The sequence below is a fragment of the Homo sapiens genome, chromosome 6 (assembly GCF_000001405.40).
Source record: "Homo sapiens chromosome 6, GRCh38.p14 Primary Assembly".
Lineage (NCBI taxonomy): Eukaryota > Metazoa > Chordata > Mammalia > Primates > Hominidae > Homo > Homo sapiens.
In genome coordinates, this window is record NC_000006.12 from 97,625,213 (window position 1) to 97,652,246 (window position 27,034).

Sequence of the window (27,034 nt, forward strand, 5' to 3'; positions counted from 1 at the left end):
TTAGTTTAAAAATTTACACATTAAAAGTAGCTATTTATAAAGTAACTTCCTATTTTGAGATTATGTCTACTGCCTTGGGTTTCTTAGACAATACACGGCATATTTCTTATAAATCAGTCAATAATTGTGCAGCTCATGTACAGACATCAGTGGTGTCTGTTGTAGGAGATAAAAACAGTCAGCACAAATTTGTTTATTGTATTTATCCCAATTCATATTTACGATTTTTTTGTCTTTTCATCAATCTAACCACTGAAAAAGATTTAGCAATTATGGCTTTTTGCATTGCTTTGCTTTTTTTTCTTCAAGTGGTGAACTGTGGCATTATAGCGTGCTTGGGAAGTTTATCACTAGGAGATAAAACAAATACTATGTTAATTCTCAGAACTGAAACAAATTGGTGACGACTGTTTTGAAGTGTGCAATTACATATTGTTCTACTAAAAAGTCAGCAATGGTGATATATTCTCTAAGGTGCTTGAAGAATTTGATGACGTATAATTACCACTAAAGGATAGGTTTTCCAATATTGACCTTGGCGGATGTCATAGCTGTGTTGGGTTCTGTGCCAAACATGGGTCAACTTCTGAGAATCCAATTGCACATTTTTAAATTTATAAAATTAAAAATCATCTGCAAATTGTCTTTAGCCCTTGCCATATTCTGGGAAAGGCTCCAAATTTCTATCAGATCATATGGTATAATTTTTGCCTAGTATTAATAATAGTAACAATAATAATGGGAATATACAGTAGGTAACTATGTACCATGTGCCAGGAATTGTGCTCGGTGCTTTACATGAACTACTTAATCCACAAAAAGCATATCATTCTGGATATAGTTATTAGTCCCACTTTACAAATGATAACCATGAGCCTTGGAGAAGTTAAATAACTTGCTCAAGGTCACACACACAGTATGTACTAGAACTGGAATTTGATCACATATTCTGCTCAAGTATGCTCAGTAGTTCTGTAAATGAAATTTGCAAAGTTTCAGAGAGTAGTGGAGGCAAACAGAATGCCCATTTGTTTTTTGGCCTGACACCTAGGTCATCATTCATGACAGCTTGATGCACATTCACTGATTCCAAGTGTCAATTGAGAATGGCTGATGCAACAGCCCCATAGCACTCACATTTGTTGGAAAATTCCATGTTGATCTTTATATATATACATATATATGTATATACACATATTACATATATACGTATATATGTATACACATATATGTATATATGTGTGTATATATGTATATATGTATATCTATGCATATATATGTATATATAATGTATATACATATATACACATATACATATATACACATATATATGCACACACACATATATATACACACACACATATATATATACACACACACATATATATATAACAGTAGTTGCTTAAGCTTCCAATATTGGCCTCTTCGGTCATGGTACATTATTTTGAGTGTTGGGAGTCAGTATGCCTGAGGTGCAAAGATGATGATGTACTTCCTGTAGACATGAAGGCACTCAGAAATAAAGCAAGGCCATTGAACTGTCATTTGTTGTTCTTCCTACTCAGGCTTTTAAAAAAGAAACTAAGGTCAATTAACTGGGAAGCTTAACCTCTCTTAGCTTGTCTTTCTTTGCGTAGGCTTTTAGCCTTTTAAATAAATCATTTTTTTCTCTTCTCTCCCTCCCAACCCCCTATCCATTTTGAACACGTTCTTGGATTTCTCATGCTAGGCCTAAGGAGCAGACTGCTTATATTCAAGAATGATTTGGAGGGGATAAAGTGTGCAAGATTTTGAATTCTTGCCATAAGTCCCTGGCAGACAGCCAGGCAGCCTCAGAGGAATAAGGCTAATGAAGGGAGGGTAAAGAAGATCCGGGAGTGTGGCTGGTAATGCAGTATTCATTTAATTGGGAGCAGGTACCGGTGCAAACTTCTCCATTTTAATTGGAAAAAGGGAAGGGGATTGTTAAGGACGAAGGAAAAAAGAATGCATAAAGTTTCCAAGCCGAGGAGCCAAAGGCAGCCCTGTCTATGCCAGAGAAAGAACTCAATTTAGGGCAATTTGCTCTGCAAGCTGGGCTGCAGCCTCCCCTGGGAATAGGGATGAGGAAGAAAATGAAACCAAAAGAGAACTTGATAAAATCACCTAGCACAGACAATCTCGGTAGAATAGGTTTTACTGAGTTAAATCTGCCCCAATCAATATGATTCTTTTCATATAAGTTACAAATAAAAAGCCACAAGATTACAATAAAAATCGAGACTCGAGCGCTGCTGATGTTGCACCTGGGAGTCTTAAGAACTTGTTATGGAATATATGTTTTTGCAACTATAATGTTTGTTTTTCCTTTCACCCTGGTCATGTGAATCAACTGTTTGCTTTCCTTCTCTATCCATTTAGTTTTATATATTGTTTTTAAAACCCAACAGAGGCAACTCTTTCTGCTTAATTTCTCTTACACTAGAGGTTGGGGATCGGTGGTTTCATTTTGTTTTCCAATGTGTTGAATCTAACGTAGTTCTGATTTCTCATACTAATAATAAATGAAGAGATTTCTTCTTATTGTATATTTTTGTGATGTAAGGAATTATAAATGTTAATGTATGAGTAAAGGAATAAAAGGGAGGCAAGACTTCATGTAAGAAGGGAAAGAAATGCTTTTGAGGCATATAAGAAACTATTAAAATAGAACATCTTATAGTTTATATGTAATAATTATTAATAATCTTTGACTGTGCTGGAGAAATATGAATTTTGAGCAGCCGATGGTTTCAATGTGATAATTTTTTTTTATCCTTAGTGAATAAGGAGGCAAAAGACTGGAAAAAAAAATTTAGTCTTTCTTCCAGTGTGGTTGACTAATCAACAAAGAACTTGGAGACAGATACTTTATTTTAGTACATAAAAGTACGTCTTAAAGATTAATATAAAGGACTTAGATCTCAAGTTTCCTGGCACTTTTGTTTTGTTATTAAATTTCTTTAAAATAATGCATAATGGAAAATAAAAGGATCATGGTGCCTTGTTGTGGTAGATCTCACTTTCAGTCTGGTTGGTTATACATTCACTGTTTGTAAACCTAAAAGAAGAGTTGACTATGAACATTTTATCCTTTGATGATTATCACTGTGGGTTGGCGAAATTTTTGCTAATATGTGCTAGCAGACTGTGGATTGATTATTTGACTTTATCTCAGTTACTAGGAAGTTCGGATTAGAACTGAAAAGAGACTTTTCTGGATAGAGAAAAAAGAGTAACATTTCAAAATGTGATGAGATGTTACTCCAAATATTCCTTCTCATTTTTCTTGATACCATGCTAAATAAATGAGTCAATTTATCCATCAAAAATATTTATAGAGGACTTCTCCATGTTAAGCACTGTAGAAAATGCAAAGATGAGAATAACATAGAACTTGTCATCAAGAAACTTACTTTATAAATGGGAAGGCCAGACAAAATATAATACAAAGGCCAAGTACAAAATTAGACAACAGAAAAAAAGATGTTCCCAAACAATATATAACTGATGAAGTATCAAACCATATATTTTTTTAAGTTTGCAATGCTAATATCTGAATATGGACAATTTGTGTCATATTTTTGGGAAGAGCAGTAGATCAAAGTAGTTTGTTGAAGGCTGGAAAGTGTTTATGGAACTGATGGTACTTTACTTGCTTTGTATTTAGACGGGCAGGAGAGGATGCAGGAGACTGTACAAAGTTCAAGAAACGATATGCTTTAATCAAGGTAAGAAACTGGGAGAAGAGAGGAAGTGGCAAATATGTTTAGGTTATATGAGATTCTTATAGAGAATGAAAGGGAATTCATTGAGGCCACATTTTAGAAGGTCGTGATCAGAATGTTTTGTTTATCCTATATCTAATGATTTTTGATGAAGAATTTACAAAAAGGATAAAATGCTCTTTTAGGGAGACTGACCCAGTGGCAGGACATGATATAAATTAAAGGGATGGGGGCCTAACATTTGTTCATAGTCTCATTTTTCCCCCCACATGACTAAATATTCATGTTCTCCTTTGTTTTTCTCCATGGATGGAGTCTCCATCCATAAAACTGCTTCACAGAGTTTCACCTCCTGCCTATGCTGACAGGGGCCTTCCTCTCTTTCCTGGGTGTGGGTGGCAGTGTCCGTAAGGCTGCCAGCCCTGAGTGTCACAAGAGTGCAGGGTGTGAGGAAACAGCAGGGAGAAAGGCTCTTTCCCCAACTCAGAATCGCACTTGTGCCAAGAGTTACCCAAAGACTCTCATGAAAATATTTCAATATCTCAGGCTTTCTAAGAATCACAGGAAATCTCTCATAAGACAGTTCTGTTACTTTTTCACCTTTACCTCTGGAACCTTGAATGCATCAGGCAGGGAATGATGCCATCGCCTTCATTATTCTTGTCTCCCCTAATTTGATGGCTTCTGGTCGCAACTAAACTTTTCTTGCTTAATTATAAAACAACAGTTCACACAAATCAATGGGGCTGGTGTGTATTTAATATCAATGAGTGGAAGAAGGGGTCTTCTCTACAGCTCAGCCACCCACCCAAATGCTGTGTTTGATTCTGGTTCTGTAATCTGCTATTTACAGTTAAGCCTCTGGAAAAGTAGCAATTTAGGGGGTTTTCCTTCATCTCACTCCCACTGTTCCCTTCCCTTAATACACCTTTTCCCACTGGAGCATATTTAAAAGAGATGCAAATGCTTAAAATATGTTTGAGGATAGGAGGGGTTTTTCAACTCCTGGCCCTTTTTGTAGGCTTATTGACTGTTAGCACCTTTTTGTTATTTATAAAGAGGAAGAAGACTGAGAATCTTTCTGCCATGATATTTCTCAAAGTGTGCCAAATAAATAGATTACTACCTGCCTTATTCATCTATAAGATGACTCTGTTCTGGTAACTTTGGCATAGTTCTATAAAAAGGGAAACTACCTGTTTAGACTTGCTTGGAAGTTATCTAATAATTACCAATTCAAATGTAATGGGATTAAATATATTGCTTTGAAAATAAGAGGTAAAATCATTTTTAGGTGTATATTTTTGGAATGATAACACTGTTTTATAGTGTTTTAATTTCAGTAGCACCAGTGTAACAGCTGAATAGCTATTAGAGAAATGCATTAATTAAAAACTGTGGATCAATTATGGATGAGAATTTCTTATTAGTTTTTATATGGCCTTGTGCCTTTTCGAGGACTGTGATTTTGTACAAATTTTAATTGAAGATATATCTCTGCTTCTTCATAACTCATGAAATTCAATATATTCTCTCTTGCAGACAGCACCGATGACTATATTAATTTAGAAAGAACCAAGTTCAAGTGTCAAAAACAAGTTAAACCATTGATGTTATTAGACAATACCAAGTTCACCTAACATTTATGGAGCCCCTAGTCTAGCTAGACATTATGCTATTAAATGATATTGCTTACATAACTTATGATTCTTCAAAGGGAGGAATGACATAGGTATTCATATTCACATTTTACAGATGAGAAATGTGAAATCTGAACAAGTTAGACGGTGACTCCATGTCTAGTGAGTAACAGAGGTGGAATTTGTAGCCAGAGTTCCTGATGCTAATGTGGAAGTTAAGAAGTGATTTTGCTATTATTGAATTTATGACCTCAGTTTAACTCATCTACCTCAAAATCTGCAAAACTTTTCTGGAACTATTAAAAGAGTCAACATTCTTGTGAATTATTACACATATTTGGTGGATGAGGGCAAAATATGAGAAAATTACATTCTTCTTTCTGATAGGAATATTCCTTTAAGTAAATAAACAGCATACGCTTCCTTTTTAATTATTATTTTTAGGCGATAAAAGGCAATTAAATAACCCGACTATAATTTTATTATTATGTTTTAGATAGCCTTAGCTTTGTGCTGCTTAAAATAATAACTTTGAAACTCTTAAAAATAAATACATTTTGTTCATTAATGCTAAATGACTTTTTTCATTTCCTAAGTTTTTACTTTGAAAGATTTCAAGCCTATGAATAAACTAAAAACATATATAATGAACACTCATATGTCTCATCTAAGTACACCAGAGGTTACCAATTTCCTACACTGGCAATCTCGCTCTCTCTCTGTGTCCTTCTCACATACAGAAATATATTTACTGAACCATTTAGAAATCAGTTGCAGACATCATGATAATTCACCCCAAATACTTCAACATCTATTTCTTCAAGATGAGGACATTCTTCTTCATAACCTTAATGGTGTTGTTACACCCAAAATATAAACTATTGATGTAAGAAAAATACCTGATATCAGCCCATATTAAAATTTTTCCATTATGAAATTCACATTTCTTATAGTTGTTTCACTTTTCAACTGATGATTCAATCAAGGATTATTCAATACCCTTAGTTGTCTTGTCTTTAATATAGAATAGTCCCTCTCTTGTCTCATGAATTTGAAATTTTGAAAAGTCTAGGCCAGTGTTTTTTTTATTTTTTTCACAATGTCCCACTGATTATTTCTGGATTTTTAGAATCAGTTGAAATACTTTTTGTCAAGAATAATAAACAGATGATCTTGTGTCCTTCTCAGTGTATCACATTAATAATATTGACTTATACCATTATTGGTCATGCTTTATTGTTTATTTGATTAAACTGATATCTCTGAGATTCTTTCATTGTAAAAGGTAAACTTTTTTCTCAGTTGATAGATAACTGTGGTTAACGCTTTAAGACTGTATACAAATCTTGCTCTCAAAAAATTGATTTAATATTTTTTAACATTCATGATAATCTTAGCATTAGTGCTTGCAAAATAAAAATTTTTTAATTTATATCTTTTGTTTTATATTTACTAATAGACTTTCTTCAAGGAAGAACTTTCTCTTCCCCATCTCTTTTATTTTTTAAAATATCATTATGGAGTTAGGAATTTTTAAAATATTTGATGTGTTATCATCCATTGCCATCATTATTTTTTTGATTGCTCAAATTATCCCAAATATGTGAAGTAGAAGCCCCTTCAAGTTGACCTCGTGTCGTTTGATATAGCCTTATCAATCTTTGAGCATTTTCTTTGCTTTCTGTCTCAGCAATATGTTACAAACCTACCTTGCACTTTCCATGCCTAAGAGCTGGAATCAACCATTTCTCCAAAGAGCTCTGGTTCCTTATAGTGGGGAATTGTATTTAGAAACCAAGATTCAGGTTCATCATGTGCTTATTCAGTCAGTCAATGCAGTATATGTATCTCTTATACTGAAAGCTGCATTGCAGAGTTCTTTCACACTATCTCTTATACTGAAAGCTGCATTGCAGAGTTCTTCCACACTTCCTATGTTGGAATCTTACTTTTTCCACAGTGAAGATCCTGACTGTCAACACCAATATATTTATTCATTTAGTGTATTTTACAGCACCCACAAAATATTTTCAGAATTACTACACCGATACCACTACCAACAGCAAACTTGCTAAGTAAACTTAAAGTTTTTTAAAGTTCTTTTTGTCTTTAAAATGTATTCTACTAGGGGTTAATAATCACAGTACTGTGTTCAAAAATTTCTGAAATTGTGTGTGTGTGTGTGTGTGTGTGTGTACGGACACGTATGTTATAAATTTGCTATAGCTAAATTTGTTTCTGTTTCTGTTCAATTTTAGTGATTTTTTTTGGATTCTTGATTTAATTTCTAAATTTACATAAAGAAGTGATATGCTTACATATCAAATGCTATATATATATATATTATATATGGATGAATCAGAAAAGTTTGATTCTTTTTCCTTTCTCTTATACTTTTTTCCCACTTTTCATCTTTAGGTAACAATTTTCATTAGTTTCTGGTTTTTTTCTGAGTGTGTCTATTTTCACAAATATATACACAAATGTATTAAGCAATACATACACAAATAAACATGCTTAATGTGTGTCTTCATTCTCCTCATTCTTACACAGTAGGTTATAATATATATTTTTACATTTAACAATATATCCTGGGAATCACTCCTTAGCAGTTTACTGGCAACTTCTTTAGTGTTTTGTATAGCTACAAAGTACCCATTTTTGGATATTCGGTAATGTATAAAAATCTATTGCTTGCTACTGCAGGGAATTTAAGTTGTTTTCAATATTTTGCTATTATAATTAATGTTTCAATGAATACACTTAAACACTTATACATACGTTTTGTAGTTGTAGAGATATATCCTCAGATTAAATTTTTAGAAGTGGAACTGCTGGATCAAAGGATAGGTTTTGTTTTGCTAACTTTTGCTAAATTCCCCTCCACAGGATGGTATAATGTGATGTTCTGACCAACAACGTATGAGGATGTGTTTCTTCACAACCTCACTAGCAGGGTGTATGGTGAAGCTTTGGATTTCTGTCAACTTGATAAGGAAGAAATGGTCAGTCAGTGGAGTTTTAATTTACGTTTTTATAAATTAAGTGACTGGAAGCATCTTACATGTATTTTAAGACTGTTTGTATATGTTTTTTTTTCTGTGGAACATATGTTCATGTCTCTCTCATTTTTCAGATTTCTTTATATTTTTGGAATATTAACCTTTTATCTGCAATATATGTTGCAAATATTTTCTCACATTTTGTCATTTTTGTTTTGATTTTGCTCATAGTGTTTTTTTCCTGCAAAAGGTTATTTTAAAATATTTTATGTAGTTTAATTTATCTTTTATTGTATCTGGATTTTGTGGTAGAAAGGCTTTCCCCATATCAAGGTTAAAAAGGAATTAATCTATGTCCTGTTCTAGTATATATATGATTTCATTTTTTATATTTAGATATCTGATCTATTTTTAGTTTATTTTTGTATATTTGAGGTACAGATCTGATATCACATTTCCCCAAAAGGAGTGATTGGAAATGGTGTATATATATGTGTATGTATATATATACACACACACACACACGTACACATGTGTGTATATATATATACACATATGTACATACATATGTACACACGTGTGTATATATACACACACATATACACACATATACACATATATACACATATATACATATATGCACATATATATACATACACACACACACACACACACACACACATATATATATAATATATATAAAATTTACATACGTACTGGGCTTTCTCATTGATTCTGTTTATACTCCTGTAACACCGCGCCTTGATTATATCTTAGTATTTGTTTGGCTAGGCACTCTACTGCTGCTTTTGAGGATTATTCTAGTTTTTCTACCGTAATTATTTTCCTTAAAATTTTAAAATCAACTTATCTAGCTTCAAACATATTGTTCTTTGTATTTTTATGGAGTCATGTTGTTTCTAGATTAACATGGTGAGAATTGCCATCTTCGTGGTGTTGACTCAGACCATCTAAGAACAGATAGTTTTCCCTTTAAGTTCACTTTTCATTCGGAGTATTTTAAAGTTTTCTTTAAAAACCTTTTTAACATCACTTGTTAGGTTTACTTCTAAGTACTTCATTTTTTTTGGTGGCCATGAAAAATAGCATTTCTCTTACATTGTATCTTCTAATTAATAATTTGTATATATGGAGTACATTAATTTGTGTATAGTATTTCTCTTTCTACTGTTTTAAATTTTATTTTTGGTTTCAGTTTAGTCATTAAATCCTCGAGTTTTTTATGTATACTATCTTGTCATCTTCAAATAGGATGCTTTATACTTCTTTTATGTTCTTATGTCTCTATTTCCTCATATCTAATTTCATTGATTAATATCTCAAATGCAGGATTATAATTGGAGACAGTGAACATTTTGCCTTTTTCCTGCCCATAAAGGGAGTGTCTTTAGTGTTTCCTATTAAGTCAAATAGGTCAGATACTGGCTTTAGGATACACACAACACACACATACACACATCTATTTTATTTAAAATGGGTGCTGAAATGTGTTGAATCTTCTTTTAAGTTTTCAACGTTTATGGAATCAATCATGTGGTTTTTTTCTTATATTTACTAATATGGTGAAGTACATTGATGCACTGATGGATTTCCAAATATTAAGTTGCCCTTGCATTCCTGGAATAAATACCATTTGACCATGATGTATTTTTTTTGTATAAACTATTGGACTCTGTTTGCTAATATTTTAATTACAATTTTGAAGAAATATTAATAAATGTTATTTTAATTTCTTAAAGCTATAATTACTAGGTTTAGGTATCAAGGTTTTGTGTACTCTCCCAAGAAACACAACAGAATTTGGAAGTTTTTATTTTTCCCCTTATGCTCTGGAATTATTTAATATCATTGGACTTCTATTTTCATCCTTGGAGATTTCCAGAAATTGCCCTTTGAAAACATCTGGACTTGGTGATCTGTATGTGGGGTAATACTTTACTAATTTTCTCTATTTCTGCTGTGGAAATTGATTTGTTTACACTTTCAGTTCCTACTGAGATCAATTTGGTAAAAATATTTTTCTTTAGAATTAGTCATTTCATCTAGATTTTCAAGTTTATTTGTTGTGCAAAGTAAAAGGTAAAAGTCACATGATTTTGAAATTTACTCTTATTTTAATGTTTATTTTGTCCCCTGTAGTTTATTATTTCATGTAGTTTTGCTTTCTTTTAATGATTAGTCAATGATTTGTTTTGTTTTTTAATTAAAATACTAAATTTCTACTATTTTGTGTTTTCTAACTTTATTAATATCTGCTTTTATTTTATTTTGTTCCCTTTTGCTTAGGTTTACATTTTGTCCTTTTCTAGCTGTTTCAATTGGGAATTTAACTCGTATATTTTCTGCTTATTAGTGATTTAATGTAATGACATAAATCCTGATATGTAGAATCTGTAATTCCATTTTGGTCTTTTTCCTTTTGCTCAATAATTACTTATTAGAGAGTTTTAAAATTCAACTTGCAATAACCTTAAAATATTGTTATAACTGTAAAATGTCATGATGTTGTGGCCATGTTTGTATTTTTCCTCTCGTAGAAATTATTAAGATTTTTGTAATAGTTTATTATACAGGAATACTTCATTTTATTTTGCCCTGCTTTATTATGCTTCACAGATATTACATGTTTTACAAATTGATGATTTGTGACAACCCTGCACTGAACATGTCTATTGGTATCATATTTCAACGTGTGCCCATTTCCTATCTGTGTCACATTTTGGTAATTCTCAAAATATTTTAAGTTTATTATTATTATTATCATTATTATATCTGTTCAGTGATCTTTCAAATACTATCGTACTGTAATTGTCTTGGCGTACCACGAACCATGCCTATAGAAGATGGCAAACTTAATTGATAAATGTCACACATTTTCTGACGGCCCCACCAACCAGCTGTTCTCCCATCTCTCTCCCTCTCCTTGAAACCTCCCTATTCTCTGAGACACAACAATATTGAAATTAAGCCAATTAATAACACCACGATAATACTAAAGCTAGCACTGATTAAGCTCAGTGGAAAAGGAATGTTGAAAGTCAAGACAGGAGAAAAGCCAGGCCTCCTACACCAAACAGTCAGCTAAGTTGAGAATGCGAAGTGAAAGTTTTTGAAGGAAATTAGAAGTGCTATTTCAGTGAACTCATGAATGTCAAGAAAGCAAAACAGCCTTATTGCTGATATAGAGAAAGTTTTAGTGGTCTGGAAAGAAGATCAAACAAGCCACAACATTATCTAAAGCCAACGCCTAATCCAGAATTGGTACTAATTCTCTTTAATTCTGTGAAGGCAGGGAGAGGTGAAGAAGCTGCAGAAAAAGTTGGAAGCTAACAGAAGTTTATTAGGTTTAAGGAAAGAAGCTGTATTTACAACATAAAAATGTAAGATGAAGCAACAACTGTTGAGTTGAATTCAACTTAAGTCACCAGCTGCATTAGCAAGTGCTGAGGTAGGAGCTGTAGCAAGTTATCCAGAAGATTTAGCTGAGACAATTGATGAAGATGGCTGCATTAAACAACAGATTTTCAGTATAGGCAAATAGCCTTTTATTGGAAGATGCCATCTAGGACTTTCACAACTATAGAGGAAAAGTTGTTGAGTTCAATGCTTTGAAGGACAGGCTGACTCTCTTGTGAAGGGCTAATGGAGCTTGTGACTTACGTTGAATTCAATGCTCATTTACCATTCTGAAAAGTCCTAGGGCCCTTAAGAATTATGCTAAATCTACTCTGCTTTTGCCCTGTAAATGGAATAACAAAGCCTGGATAATGGCACATCTGTTTACAGTGTGGTTTACTGAATATTTTAAGTCCACTATTGAGACCTACTGCTCAGAAGACTCCTTTCAGAATATTGCTGCACATTGACATAGTCACCAAAGAGCTCTGTTGGAGATGTACAAGAAGGCTCATGTCGTTTTCCTGTCTGCTGACACAACATCCATTATGCAGCTCATGAATCAAGGAATAATTTTGACTTTCAATGATTATTACTTAAGAAATATATTTTTTAAGGCTATAGCTGCCATAAATATTGACTCCTTTTATGGATATGGGTAATATAAATTGAAAATCTTCTGGTAATTCTAGATGTCATTAGGAACATAAATAATTTATGAAAGGAATTCAAAATATCAGCACTAACAGGCTTTTGTAAGAAGTTGATTCAAACTCTCATGGATGACTTTGAGGGGTTCAAGACTTCAGGGAGGAAGTAACTGTACATATGGTGGAAATAGCAAGAGGACAAGAGTAGTGGAGCCTGAAGACATGGTTGAATTGTTGCAATCTCATAATAAAACTTTAATGGATGAGAAGTTCTTTTCATACATGAGCAAAGAAAGTGTTTGTGATGCTGTGAACATTGTTGAAATGACAGAAGAGATTTAGAATATTTCATACAATTAGTTGATAAAACAGTGACAGGGTTTGAGAGAATCGACTTCAATTTTGAATGAAATTGTGCTGTGAGTACAATGCTATCAAACAGTATTGCCTGCTGTGGAGAAATCTTTTGTAAAAATAAGAATCACTCAATGGGGCATACTTTATTGTTGTCCTATTTTAAGATATTGCTACAGTCATCCTAACCATCAGGAACCACCACTCTAATTAGTCAGCAGCCATCAATATTGAGGCAAGATCCTCCACCAGCAAAAAGATTATAACTTGCTCAAGACTCAGATAATGGTTAGCATTTTTAAACAATAAGGTATTTAAAAATTAAGGTATGTACATGGAGTTTTTAGACATAATGCTATTGCACATTTAACAAACTGCAGTCTAGTGTACACATAACTTTTATATGCACTTGGAAACCAAAACAATTGTGTGACTTCCTTTATCACAATATTTACTTTATTGTGGTTGTCTGGAACCAAACTTGCCATATTGCTGAGGTATGCCTGTATGTTCAGTTTTTATAAATGTTCCATGTGTGCCTTAGAATAAGGTAAATGTTTGTTTTTTTGCGATGTGAAGTTGAATATATCTCTATCTACCTATTGGTTTTCATCTTATTGATTCTGTCATTTAGTTTTTTGCCACCTATCTGGTAGGGAGTGTGAGTTAAAATCTCCTTTAAATAATGTGTTTCTGTCTGCTTGTGCTAGCATCATCTGTAATTCTGAATTGGTCAATATGTTACTTGTTGCATAGAAATTGATAGCTCATATCTTCATTGTCCAATTTTGATTTTTGTTATAAAGTTCTTATTAAAAAATCTTAATTAATGCTTTCTGGTCTGGATTGTACCTTGTTATAATTATCTCAATCACTCCTTTATTATTATTATTATTTTTTTTTTGCAGTTTGCTGGTATGCTCTTACCCATCCCTTTATTTTCATCCTTTCTGAATCACTTGGTTTTAGATTTATCTCTTGCATACAATGTAGCACTGGCTTTCATTTTGTGAGACAACCTAAAATCTTATTTCTTAAATAAATATGTTAAGACGACTTACATTGACTAATATGACTGATACTCTTTATCTCAACTACTATTTTATACTACATATATGGTTAATAAAATATATATTTTGTGCTACATTTATTTCAAATTTCTATGATATATATTTAGGCTCACACCATTTGTTTTCAGCTTTAATGATGTATTCTTTCATTCTCTCCTATTTTTTATTTAGGGGTTAATAATTTATTTGATTTCCCTTTTCTGTGTTCCTTTTTCTCTAATTTATTTAGTTTCATTATTTTCATTTGTCAGAACACATAACATTTACATTATTATACATTTGTACAAAAGTTTTGCTTTATTTAGTTTTTCATCTTAGGTCTGCAATTAAAAATATTACATAACTATTGTCAGTTATTCTGTGCCATTTTTGCAGATATTTTCATGTTGAATGAAGCTTCTATTACAGTAGATTTCTATAATATCCTGTGAGAATTTGCACACAACACTATTTTTATATAGACTTTAAATGTGAAGAACAGCTTACTTTGGTTCTCTGAATTTCTCGAAATTAATGTTCTGATATTGTCTTGCTTTGTATTTTGTTGTGAGACACTTATTTTAACCTCCTATTCTTTAATTATAAACTTCTCGATCTTTTGTTAGGAGACCCTGAAGAGTTCTTTTCTTTATCTTTAAATTCTAATAGTTTTCCTAGTCTATATTCAAATTAACCATTCTGGGTCAACTTTTCTAAGTGCATGAACTCTTTCAAAATACAAATTTATGTCTTCCTTTTACTTCTGGAACATTTTCTTAGATTATCTTTTAAAATATTAGTTTTATTCCATTGGTTTGGTTTTTTCGTCATGGACTCCAATTATATGTGTATTGGACAGTCTCATTTTATCTTTTATATTTCTCACCTTTTACCTCTTAATTTCATTTTCATTCTCTTGGTCATTTTTATTCATTCTCTAAATGCCTCTTATTACTTTTATAGTCAAATATATTCTACCTTTGTTATGTTTTAATTTTGTCTTTATTTCTGAGATTACTTTATCTTTTTCTTTTGCTCTTTCCTGAGGGTGCTTGTGTCTTGTTTACATCTTTATTTTTTTCATCTTTTTAGGTCTTAAATTTCTGGTTTGAAGGTTTTTTAAGTGTCTGAAAATGGTTTTAAGGCTATTTGTTTCTGATGAAGGTGTTAGACTACAAGTTTTCTATGCTTTAGATTGTGTTAGGGAGAAATTTGATTGACTAGAACAGTTTTATTCTTACTTCTATTTTGTTCTTATGGTAGTTTTGACTGATTTTCCTGACATTTCTATTGATTGTAATTTTTTGTTTACTTTACTTGACCGGTAATAAACATATACTTATGCATGAATAGGGAATATGGGTAATTTATTAGATTTATTAGCTCATGTGTATCCTCTTCAATTAATATTGTGAAGTACCATTTATTTAAGAGGTTGCAATTGGTGGGGGTGGTTGTATGTCTTTTAATTTATGATTTTTTTGTTGTTCTTTCTTTGGGGTCTTAATTTCTACCACTTGTTTCTGTCTTTACTACTACCACAGAGCCATTAAGCAACACCTTCACTTCCCGTAACTGACATCTTTAATCATGTGCATCTTCAAGTCCCTTCCTTTTGATTCCCCAACAGCCAGTTCTCTAATCCACCTGGCAGAAGATCTATTTTCAATATTTACTTATCCAAGCTAACATTCTTTTTCTGGGGATCAATTGACCTCAGTTGCACCAATATAAGCCCCTGATTTCTTCTCTTTTCCATGCAGTTTCTTTACTCTTCATACAGGTTTGGATGCTACTTCTGCTTATTTCATGTATTTTCCCTTTGGCCTGTAATTTGAAGACTTTTAACTGTTTAAGTTTCAGCTATACTATTGGCATGGATTATTTATTGGTATTATTTACTTTCCTTATTGATATCTCTCTCTCTCTCTCTGTCTCTTTTAGTACATATGGAGAGTTTCAGGCATAGGTATCTGTTGTTTTCTATAAAAACTCAGAAGCCAGCTCTTATAATATTTCCAATGTAGCTTAAAATTTAAATTCATATGTAGAAAATTAATTTGATTGGTATTGTATTAACTTACACTGTGAATGCTAACATTCTTTATTACAAAAACCATAACTTAATTGTCTGCTCTAAAAATGCTCTTGGCCTATGGACTAAAAATTTCTTTCAAGTCATGTGATATGTAAGTTGTTCTAATTTTTAAATTTAAAAGTCCTTTATGAGTATTTGTCACAGCTTTGCAAAGCAATATTTTATTATATAATTAATAGTTTGTGCTCTGGAGTTAAAATACCTCATTTTACAGTCTGGTTCCACTACTTGCAAGCTATATAATTGCAAAATTTACTTAATTCCTCTGTGCTTCAATATCCTTTCTGATAAATTTAGAAAAACTATGTTATCTATGCATAGGATTATTAATGCCTATATAAAACTTAGAACACTTGGCATATAATAAATGTTTAATAAATGGTTCTTCATTATTTTCAAGCCAATATTTTTGGTTAATAGGCCAAATATTTTAAGAGCTAATTTCCAGATAACATATTTAGAATTCTCCTACACTAACAATATTTCCTTGAAAATCTTGAGAAAAGGTAACAAAAATAAAAGTTATTGATTTTCTTGAATAGTTTTTGAGTTACTTTCCCTTAGAGTAGATGATCTCTGCAGTAGAAAGACAAGTTAGTAACAAGAATTAATGTTCTAGAGTTATTGGTACAGATTATAAAAGTTCTTTCACAATTCTGATTCTTTCAATAACAAATCTTATTAAACATTTAGCTTTTGGAGTTGAATGTTATATATATTCTTGTTGTTATCTTACTAGTTTTACTAAAATCCTTGAACATACGGGTAACTTCACTTTTAATTAGGTATATTTTTGTATCTTACCATCATCAGTATAAATAATTAGACCACCCTTCATAATTTGAGAGTATTTTTTGTATGTTGTGAGAGCTTGGGTAGCTGTTTCCTCATGATTTTCTAACAGCTTCAAATAGAGGATTATTCTAAATTCAGTAATCTTTTGGTGGGTATGATCATGTGAACATGCACTTTTTTTTGAAACTGGACATTTACAATCTGAATCTGAATAAAGGTAATCTTAGGCCTTTAACTCATGGCTCGTAACCGGATTACTGTTGATGGCCCTTCTAGATTTACTCTGATCTCTTTTACCAGGTCTGTTCACATTTTGCCTCTGCTAGGGTCAGTGGGTGTTACCCATCTAGAGCTCATGTAATTGAATCTTTTACCCTGGCTGTTTCTTAAACAGGTTGTGGTATGAATTTGAACAGCAGATATTTATGTGAGCAGGCTTAAAACCATGCATTCTCAGGGGAGATTATTATTGATTACCTATTCTAAAACTCTGATTCCCTGTATGAATTTTGCTTCAAAGTCAGTACTGCTGTTTGAGATTAAGTTCACCCTTTTGTTATTTCAGTTTACTTTTAATTTTTTCCTGGTACCTAAGGATTTTCTCTACTTATTTGTGAGCTTATTAATGCATTGCAGAATGGTATCGATGGTATTGGTTGTAATATGTCCAGCATGTGGATGCTTTGCAGTAGTATAATTTTATAGAATACTACTGAAGTATAATGCTGACTTTCAGATTTTTACTTCTTCTTCTTTTTTTTTTTTTTTTGAGACAGAGTTTCGCTTTTTTTGCCCAGGCTGGAGTGCAATGGCATGATCTTGGCTCACCACAACCTCTATTCAAGCGATTCTCCTGCCTCAGCCCCCTGAGTTAGCTGGAATTACAGGCATGCACCACCATGCCTGATTAATTTAGTATTTTTGGTAGAGACAGGGTTTCCTCCATGTTGGTCAGGCTGGTCTTGAACTCCTAACCTCAAGTGATCCGTCCGCCTTGGCCTCCCAAAGTGCTGGGATTACAGGCGTGAGCCACCAGGCCAGGCCAGATTTTTATTTCTAATTATGTTTTTTTACTTCCTGGTCTTTTGAAATATGTCTTCAAGAATTTTTTTTTTTTTTTGGTGGTACATGGAATTTTTTTCCTACTCTGAGAGTATTTAGCATGCTTGGGCACATAAAATATAATTTGGTACAATACTGAATTGTTGGATCACCCCATTTTCATCTCAGAAATCTGCACTTGCTCCAGTTCCTTCTGTTGTTTAATGCTATGAAGGAGAAGTCTGAAGCCAGCCTGATTTTTTGTTTGTTTGTTTCATTGTAGTTCATTTTTTGTTGTTTTACCAGTAGTTTACAAGAGTTATAACATTATTATTCTTATAATTCAGTTATTACCAAGATGTGCATTTGTCATTATGCCTCTTAAATTCTATTCTAAGAAACACTTTTTTTTTTTTTTGTGGTGAGAGATCGTATTTGAGGCGTAACAAGGAATAAAATGGGTTCTCTTGTTTAATTCATTGTGAAATTATTCTTTCTGTTCAAAAGGTATAACTTTGGAAGTAGTACAACAAATTTCCCAGTTTTTTAATTGTATAGTTTCTGGGTCTCTGAGTCAGGAGAGGTACTAGAAAAAAATGAATTTCGCATTTTTTTTCTAGGCTAATACCTATTCACAAGGTATAGCTTTGGCATTCTTAGTGTCAGCTTTAGTTTGGTTTTAGTTTCTATATTTTCTATTTCATATGTGTTCTTTAATCATACTTTATGAGAGGCTGATTTAAAAGGTACTGGGAAGAAAACATCTTAAATTTTAGTCCACTTACATTTTAATCATATGCAATTTGTTATTAAGATTATGCTTAAATTTTCACTTGTTTAAGATTGCTTTATGCATATACACTGCATAATAGCTTTAAATATTTTAAACTCGTGTCTTTGTCACAATTGGCGACTTCTGTCTTGGTCACTGATCTTTTCTAAATTATTTGTTTTGTCATTTCAATTGAAAAATGTGATGTTCCATCAATAATAAAATCCCAGTTGGATAAAAATATTTTTATATTATAAAAATTATCTGGAGTGTAGTTAGAACAAGAACTACAATTATAATGGTAAAGTTTTGGCTGTTTTTGTGTATTCCCATTTTTTGGTGGAATAATTGGTAAAGACATGTCTCTAAAATGTGGCTAACCATTGTCATATAGTGAAATTTAAAATGGTATCTAGAAAATAATTTAAAATGTTATTTTATCTTAAAAAGTAGATAATAATAAAGCATCAACTTAATTATACATTAGGAAATGAATCAAAGGCCAAATTTCCTTCATAAACAATAAGCTTTAATTTCAAGAACTACCAACAAAATGTTTTAACAAGTGAAGCAACATCAATATCAGTTAGATTATATAAACATGTAAGTAAAAATTAGCCATTGAAAACTCTAACACTATCTAGCTTAAGTGTGGTTCTCTGAAATATCATGCTCTTCGAGTTTTCAAATATCAGGTTTAACAGTACCCTCTCTAGTAAAGATCTAATTGTGGATGTCAGGCTTTGACTGCCTAATGCGATGTATTTAAGATAAGGAATCAGGAAATGAAATGGGTTATTTCCCTATACTCCTTTGCAGTCCATTTGGTTTCCTGTAATTGGGATCAAATTTTCCATCTGCCTTGGTCCTCTGTTAATTATTTCAGCTAAAACCATAACATTTCCCCTCTTTGAGTTTCTGCTACTATAACCCTTGATTAAATGTCAGGTTTTTGTTTTCATTGTTCTACTTTTTTTTCGTATTTACATTTTTGACAGCCTTCCCTCTCAACTGAATACTGTTATCACTTCTTTATTCTAATCCTCTCCCAAGCTGCCTATATTATCACCCCTGTGTTTGAGAACTCAGATTCTTACCCTTTAATCCACTAATTGGGTTTTTACCCCATCTCACCTTGCCTCCTCTTTATGCATCTGACCCTTCTTTCTACCATACAACCTGCCCACTAGGCTTGCGGTCATGCCAGATCTTCTTACCTTGTGCTCTCTTTCTTCACCCAGAGGACTTTATTAATATTTTCTCTTCCAACTCTCCCAAAAGTTTCTATGAATATGACATCCTTTATAATATTTTTCTAGAATAAATAGCACATTTTCAAATAGATTTTTTTTAAGAAAATAAATTTATTTTTTGAAGTCAGTATTTTTTGATTAAGTATATGTATTGGTTTCAACAGCTGGGAAAATGTATGTAATTAACAAACATTTATTTCATCCTATTCATTTCCATTTATATTTTCCCTTTGGTGAGAAAAGGGTATATGCTTATTACTCCTTCAATGAATGCTTTTCTCTTTAAATATGAATTTAGTCAAAATATTTATTGTAGGATATTAAAATTTATGGTTACTTTTTAGTGAATTTGAACATGTGGCAAAATCAAAATGTATGAAAATAAGCCAAGACAATATTCCTTGTAAAAGTTTACACAGATATAATGAGTGGTGATTTTGTCAAGTTTTTCTAATATTCTATTAATATAGTCTATGTAATTGGATTATATCAAAGAACATAGGACAAATTATAGAAGAGTATGTTAGTATGTATACAAGCTACGTTGTTCAGCCACAACTACAAATTTCAAATGAATCAAGAAGTTTGAAATCTGTATTATTTTCTATGGAAACTTAAAAAGAACATTTTCTTTTTTTTTTCAACATGATCTTGCTTTTTGTCACATGCACAGAATGAAATAGGCCTGGTTTTTACTGTAAATTTATAATTTAGACAGGCTGATTTTATTAATTGAAGGTAATTTTCAAATATTTGACTTGATAAGAAGCATGTCACCAAGCAACTAACTCACCAGGAAGAATCATGATAGGTATTCAAGACTGACGTGGATTTCTAAGAATTATGAACTGTATCCACATAATAGTAAAATTCTGGCAAAGGGGAATAAAAGCATGGAGTATATTGTCTAAGGTGAAGGAGAAAGTGTCAGGATGAAGACCTATTATCATATGACAGGCCAGGAAGTTGATGAGTAAATCAGCACAGAAGAAGATAAAACAAGACCCTACCAAATGCATTTAACATATTTCTGTTCCACGAATCAGATGTTTAGGGTGACTGCATCAAGCAGGACTGGAGAAGTCAAATTGGCACAGATTGACAGAAAGGAGCAAACAAACAATTTTCTGTAAGACACTAAACCTTACATTATAATCAGCAGACTGAAAGTATAATTTACCAGTAGCTTTAAGGAAAAACAAATATAAGGAACTAGATCATATTTTGCAGATGTCACTGTTACATATAGTGCTTTCCACAAAAGATACTTAAAAGTTCAAGTCTAGCTAAAAACTATAGATTAGTAACTACCATATAAATAAACAAATTACATGTAATTTTTCTATAATTTCATCAATATAAATTCCTTGACGTAAAGTTTTTTTTTAAACTCTAAACATTACCTTGTAAACTTGTTCTTCAAATGAATTTTCAAAGACTTTAGCTTCATGTATATTTGGAACATTTTTCCTTCCTTGTTTTATCTATACATTTTGATTGGACGCTCTGCAAGGACAGGGAAACCTTCTTTGGCCACAAAAGGATCTAGAGTTTAGCAGCATGGGCTTTCTATGTGTAGACTTGTTATACATAGAAATAGTATTTTAATGATCTACCAATAAATTAAAAGCAATGGGTCTGGAAATTGCTGCTAGATTTTTGGATCTCTCTCTAAGTATTCTAAATCTCTGCTGTCCAAAATGGTAGGCTCTGGCACATGTGGATATTGAGCACTTGAAATGTGGTGTGTCCAAAGTGAAATGTGCTATAAATAAAAATATACACTGAACTTTGAAAACACAGTACAAAAAGAATGGAAAGTATCTCATTGTCTGTTTGTTTGCATTGCTATAAAGGAATGCCTGAAGCTGGGTAATTTACAAAGAAAAGAAGTTTATTTAGCTCAAACTACTATAGGCTGTATAGGAAGCATGATGTCCGCATCTGCTTCTAGTAAGGGCTTCAGGCTGCTTCCACTTATGGGCAGAAGGTTGAAGAGGAGCCCGTGTGTGCAGAGATCACATGGCAAGGGAGGAAGCAAGAGAGAAGGGAGGAAGGTACTGGGCTCCTTTTAACAACCAGCTGTCTCAGGAACTGATAGAGCAAAAACTCACTCTCCAAGCCCCCAGGGAAGGGATTAATATATTCATAAGGAATTCACCCCATTACCCAAATATCTCTCATTAGGCACCACCTCCAACATTGAGGATTAAATTTCAAATTTCAACATGAGGTTTGGGAAACAAACATCCAAACTATCTGTAGCACTCATGAATCACTTTTTCTATTGATTATACCTTGAAATAATGTTTGAGATATAGTGGGTTAAATAAAATATATAATGAAAATTAATGTCATCCATTTCCTATTTTTTTTCTTTTTAAGAGATAGGGTCTCACAGTGTTGCATAAGCTAGTCTCAAACTCCTGAGCTCAAGTGATCCTCCCATCTCAGCCTCCCTAATAGCTGGGACTACAGGCATGTACCACCCCTCCTGGCTTAATTTCACTAATTTTTTTTTTACTTGCTTGCACATGGCTACTAGAGAATTTTAAATTACATATCTGGCTCACATTATATGTCTATTGAAAAATGAAGTTCCAAATGGTGGCAGAGCTTTAAAAAATCATTTAAACTTAATATATTCTGGTTATCTCACATAGATTAGTTGAAGCTTTATTGTATCATCTTCATCTATATTTTGATACCTGCTCTGAATCATGTATTTATAAATTTTCTTTCTAAAGAATATTTCTTTAGATTAAAAATTATGTATAGGAATAGATCTAAGTGAAAGCCTTTTAGAATTATTGATACCAATGTATTGGTATTCCAGAGTACATTTCATCATTTCTTTTAACCCATTCCCACATCAATTCTTTCTGTAGTTGTGAACGGTTAGATACATGAACTTTCTTATAGCTCTCTTCTCTTTCTTACCTTCTGAGGGTAAATCATGAACGCAATAGTCAGAAGGATTTGGTTAAAGGGAAGTTGGAAGGAAATCATCTAGAAGGTCTTGAACTGGATTTGCAAATGTGGATCATGAGGCCAGGGTACTTGGGTAATGTAAGTAAACTTCTTAAAACAGTCATTTGTAAATAGAGGTAACTTTCCAGTGTCACAGAAGAAGAATTGAAGATCTATTGCCTCTCAGAAACATTTATCTACTCACATTTTATTGCAAGGACACTTTGGTGTTCATATTTTTCTTATGAGCTGCCTTCCTTTGCTTTGCTTTCTAGACAATTTGTACTTTTCCTTTGATTTCCTTTTCTATTCAAGGGTTAATAAGAAATGGGTTTTTAATTTCCAAGTCTGCAAGATTGTTTGCTTTCCAGAATATAACTGAATTTTGCTTTTAAACCTGATTAGATGTTTTTGTTATGTAATAAGAAAATTTAACCCAGCATTTAGTGAAATGATTGACATACTTCATACTTTTTCATTTTGTATCTTCCTTATCCTTATACTTTTCCTTATTTTTGTTGCCTTTTTCAGTGAGATATTTATTCTTTGATCTGTTGTTGATTTATATGAACTACCATAATTTACCATTGCTGCTATCACAGTAAAACTACTATTTGAAATATACTATATCAAATATTTCCTCCCCTATCAAAATGCTTTGTTTTCTTCTTTGATGTGCAATTTGGACCATAACTTTATTATGTATATTTTTTAAAGTGGGGTCCATATTATTCTCTTCTAAATTAAATTATTTTTTCAAGCTGTGAGGAAGTTTTTACAAATTTGTGTTTGGTCAAAATAGGGTTAAGTTACAGTAGCTGCTGTAATATATCTACAACTCTTTTGGTCTTTTTAATCTTTGTGTTTCTTTTACAAACAGGTACTTTTCTTCTATGTGATATGCAAATCTCCCAGCTCCTAGGAGCAACTGGATAGGGATACGTGTTTCATCTTAAAACAAAGACCAAGAAAAAATAATAATATGATAAAGTTATTCAAAGGATTTCAGAAACAGGTGTTCTAAGTCTACACTAATTGGATTTCAGTTAATTATTCCTTTTACTTTAGGGAATATAAGTAAGAAATGTAAAAAAAAAAGTACCTGAAAAACTTCACTGACATGGTAATTGCTCTAATATTACTTAACTTGGGGGAAAAAAAATCCCACCTTAGTGTGACCGAAGTCTTAATTACCTTTTTCATTTCTAGATTTTAAGATACAAATTATAGGCCTTCCATACACTATATATTTCACAGGGCTATGGCCTACTCTAGTTTTTCATGTATATATAATTTTAATTTTCCATGACAATGCACAGAAACTATTTATATAATTTACAGATTAGATTTTTGACTAAACTCAGGAAGACTAAAACAATTATCTCTTATGTTTAGGTCAAGAAGTCTGCTGCTATTTGATTTTAGATAAATTGTTCATTTTTCCTTAATCTGATTTTCCTCTTTGAAAACAGAAGAGTAGTTTTATATATCACTGTCACCATTAGCATTCCTTAAAAGTGTGGGTTGAACAATAAGGGTATCCTAAAAGTGAGAGTCGTGTTTGTGAAATAATATGATTTTATAAAGTAAACTCCACAGAGATTTGGATTTTTGTTGTTGTTCACTGGTCTTTGCCTAAAGCATAGAACCATGTCCGGTGCATAGTTATTATGAAAGAAAATTTTCTGGATAAATTAATGAATGAATGATATATATTGAAGGAAGTCAGCAATAGATGCCTAGAATTAGGATACAGATTATCTGAAAGTCAATATTTGATATAGTACATATTGGTAGAAGGGGGAAAAATAAATCCACTATTTATATAGTGTTCTAGCTTGTTTTTTATTTGTAAAATAAAATTAGAAATCATGGCATCATGGTAAAAAAAATCATCCATTGATTGGTGAAAATGGGGAATTCAGTGGTTAAGTGAAATAAGTAAGTTCATGAAGCACACAAAGTGTTTAATAAACATTTGTTGAAAGTATATTTATAACACAATTTGTTATATTGCCAAATAAAAGTGGGATCCATATATTAGGCACATTTTTTCATCTGGTACAGTGCAGTGCTGATTCCACATTCAAGCTTCATACATCTAGTGAAGGTAGCATTTTTACCACTGCACTCATTTTTATATTTGAACTATCCTGCATTGACTTAAATAACCAATTTCATTCTGGTCTTAGTTCTAATCATGACACATTTTTTCCAAAGGCTTGAATTTTGAGGACTGCTATTCTAGTCAGTTCCACTAAGCTATCAGGGGGAAAGATTAGCAGACAAACTAAACATATTATTATCATTAGAGTGTATGAAAAAAAGGTGTCTACTTTCTTGATTTTTCTTTATGCCATCAATAAAATAATTACCTATTTTTTCATAAATTCACATTTGTACATGGTGAAAATAATTCAAATGCTTCAGAAGACTAAAAAAATATAGCAAAAGACAACTTTCCTAGGTTTCTGGCCCCATGTTCAGAGAAAATCTTTCTTAGTTTCCATTTTTAAATTATTTTAGTGGTTGCTATTATGTTTTAAAATATTATTCACTAATTTTTAATCAGATTTTTAAGTATTTTTTGAATACTACTACTGGAATTTTATAGAACTTAACACATTAGTTTCTCCTCCACTACTTCTTTTAACAATGAAATTTTTGTGGTTTTATTCTCTTTTTCACATTACCAATATAAATGACATTTATAGTTTTATGCTTATATAACTATTATTCAATATTAAATCAAGCATTGGGCCTGAAACTATAAAGAAAAAATTGTACAAAAAGTGTCCAGGGTATTAAATTTTTAGGTTATTTTAAATTTTTGTACTACTTTCTGATCATAATTAACTGGAACTTTTTCATATACTTCTTGTCATCAGACTTTCTAGCCTTCTCTTTGTTTTGCTGGAGAACACCCTTGAGTAATGTTTCATTAGAGGTTGCACAGGAGATGCATTTTTCTGTTCTGCTCATCCAAAAATATTTTATTTTACTCTGACAGTTGATTGAAAGTTGGCATGGGCATGGAATTATGGGATCAAAATAATTTTATGTCAGCACTTTGAAGGCATTAATGTAATATCTTTTAGTGTGAATTGTGGCTTTGAGAAATTTCATGTTTTGAATCTCACTGCTTAGTAAGTAAACTTTTTTCTCTCTCTCTGAAAGATTTTAGTCTTTTTTCTTATGTATTTATTTATTTGAGACAAGGTCTTGCTCTGTCACCCAAGCTGGAGTACAGTGGCATGATCTTGGCTCACCACAACCTCTGCCTCCTGGGCTCAAGCAATCCACCCACTTCAGCCTTCCAAGTGGCTAGGACCACAGGTGCGCCACCACACCTGGCAACTTTTTTTTTTTCTTTTGTATTTTTAGTAGAGACGGGGTCTTGCCATGTTGCAGAGGCTGGGTAATATTTCTTTATCTTTGGAATATTGAAATTTAACCAGAATTAATATAAGTGTATATTTTATCCCTCCACTCAAATTGACATATATAGGGGATTTTAGTTCTGAATACATGTTTCCTCCTTAGTGTAGTAAACTGTATTTTTTTTTTCTTTGATTATTTTTCCTTTCTTCCATTGTCTGTCCTCTATTCAGAGATTCCTCATTCTTTCTTTTAATTTCCCTATTTAATTCTTTTTTTTTGATAATTATACTTTTAAATTTTGTGCAACTCTTTCTCTTTCTATGATTGGTACATGCTGAGGCAGTCTTTTTTAGTGTGAAGGATGGAAATATCCCCTTAACTCACTTTAATATTATGAATTATATATATATATATAAAATGTGAGTGTGTGTGTGTGTGCGTATGTGCGTATATATATATATATATATATATATACACGCACACACACAGAAATAAATTTTTTTGGTTTCTTGAATTATTATTTTTTCTAGATGAGTGATACTTAATGTTTATCTTGGTCACTTATTTGTATGCTATTTGATTTTTTCTGGAATCAGATTCTAGGTCAGATTCTATCTTTGCTATCGACTGGTTGAATAACCAAGAACAAGTTATATAGCCACTTTAAACCTCAATTAAAAAAAAAAACATAACAAGAGTGATGTTGTGAGTCATGTTGTGATAATTTAACATGGAGTCAGCACATAGTTCATTCTTAATTTTCTAAAATGCCTTTTATTTCATCAATGACGTAGTTATAATGCCTAATTTTTTAAGTTATAATGTATTGATGGGGCTGGCTTAATTCCACTATAAACCTTTGTTGC

The 27,034-nt window shown here is 32.1% G+C and overlaps 1 long non-coding RNA gene across 1 annotated transcript in view, besides 1 other annotated feature; it reads left to right on the forward strand.

The window, feature by feature from the left end:
* Positions 1-27,034, forward strand: part of LOC101927314 (uncharacterized) — a 403,332-nt gene that overhangs the window by 319,627 nt on the left and 56,671 nt on the right. The window lies entirely within an intron of this gene.
* Positions 1,003-2,634: an enhancer, noted in NCBI's record as "VISTA enhancer hs1035". NCBI's record gives its function as "enhancer in: forebrain[8/8] | limb[3/8]" and the evidence as "EXISTENCE:transgenic organism evidence [ECO:0001131][PMID:17130149]".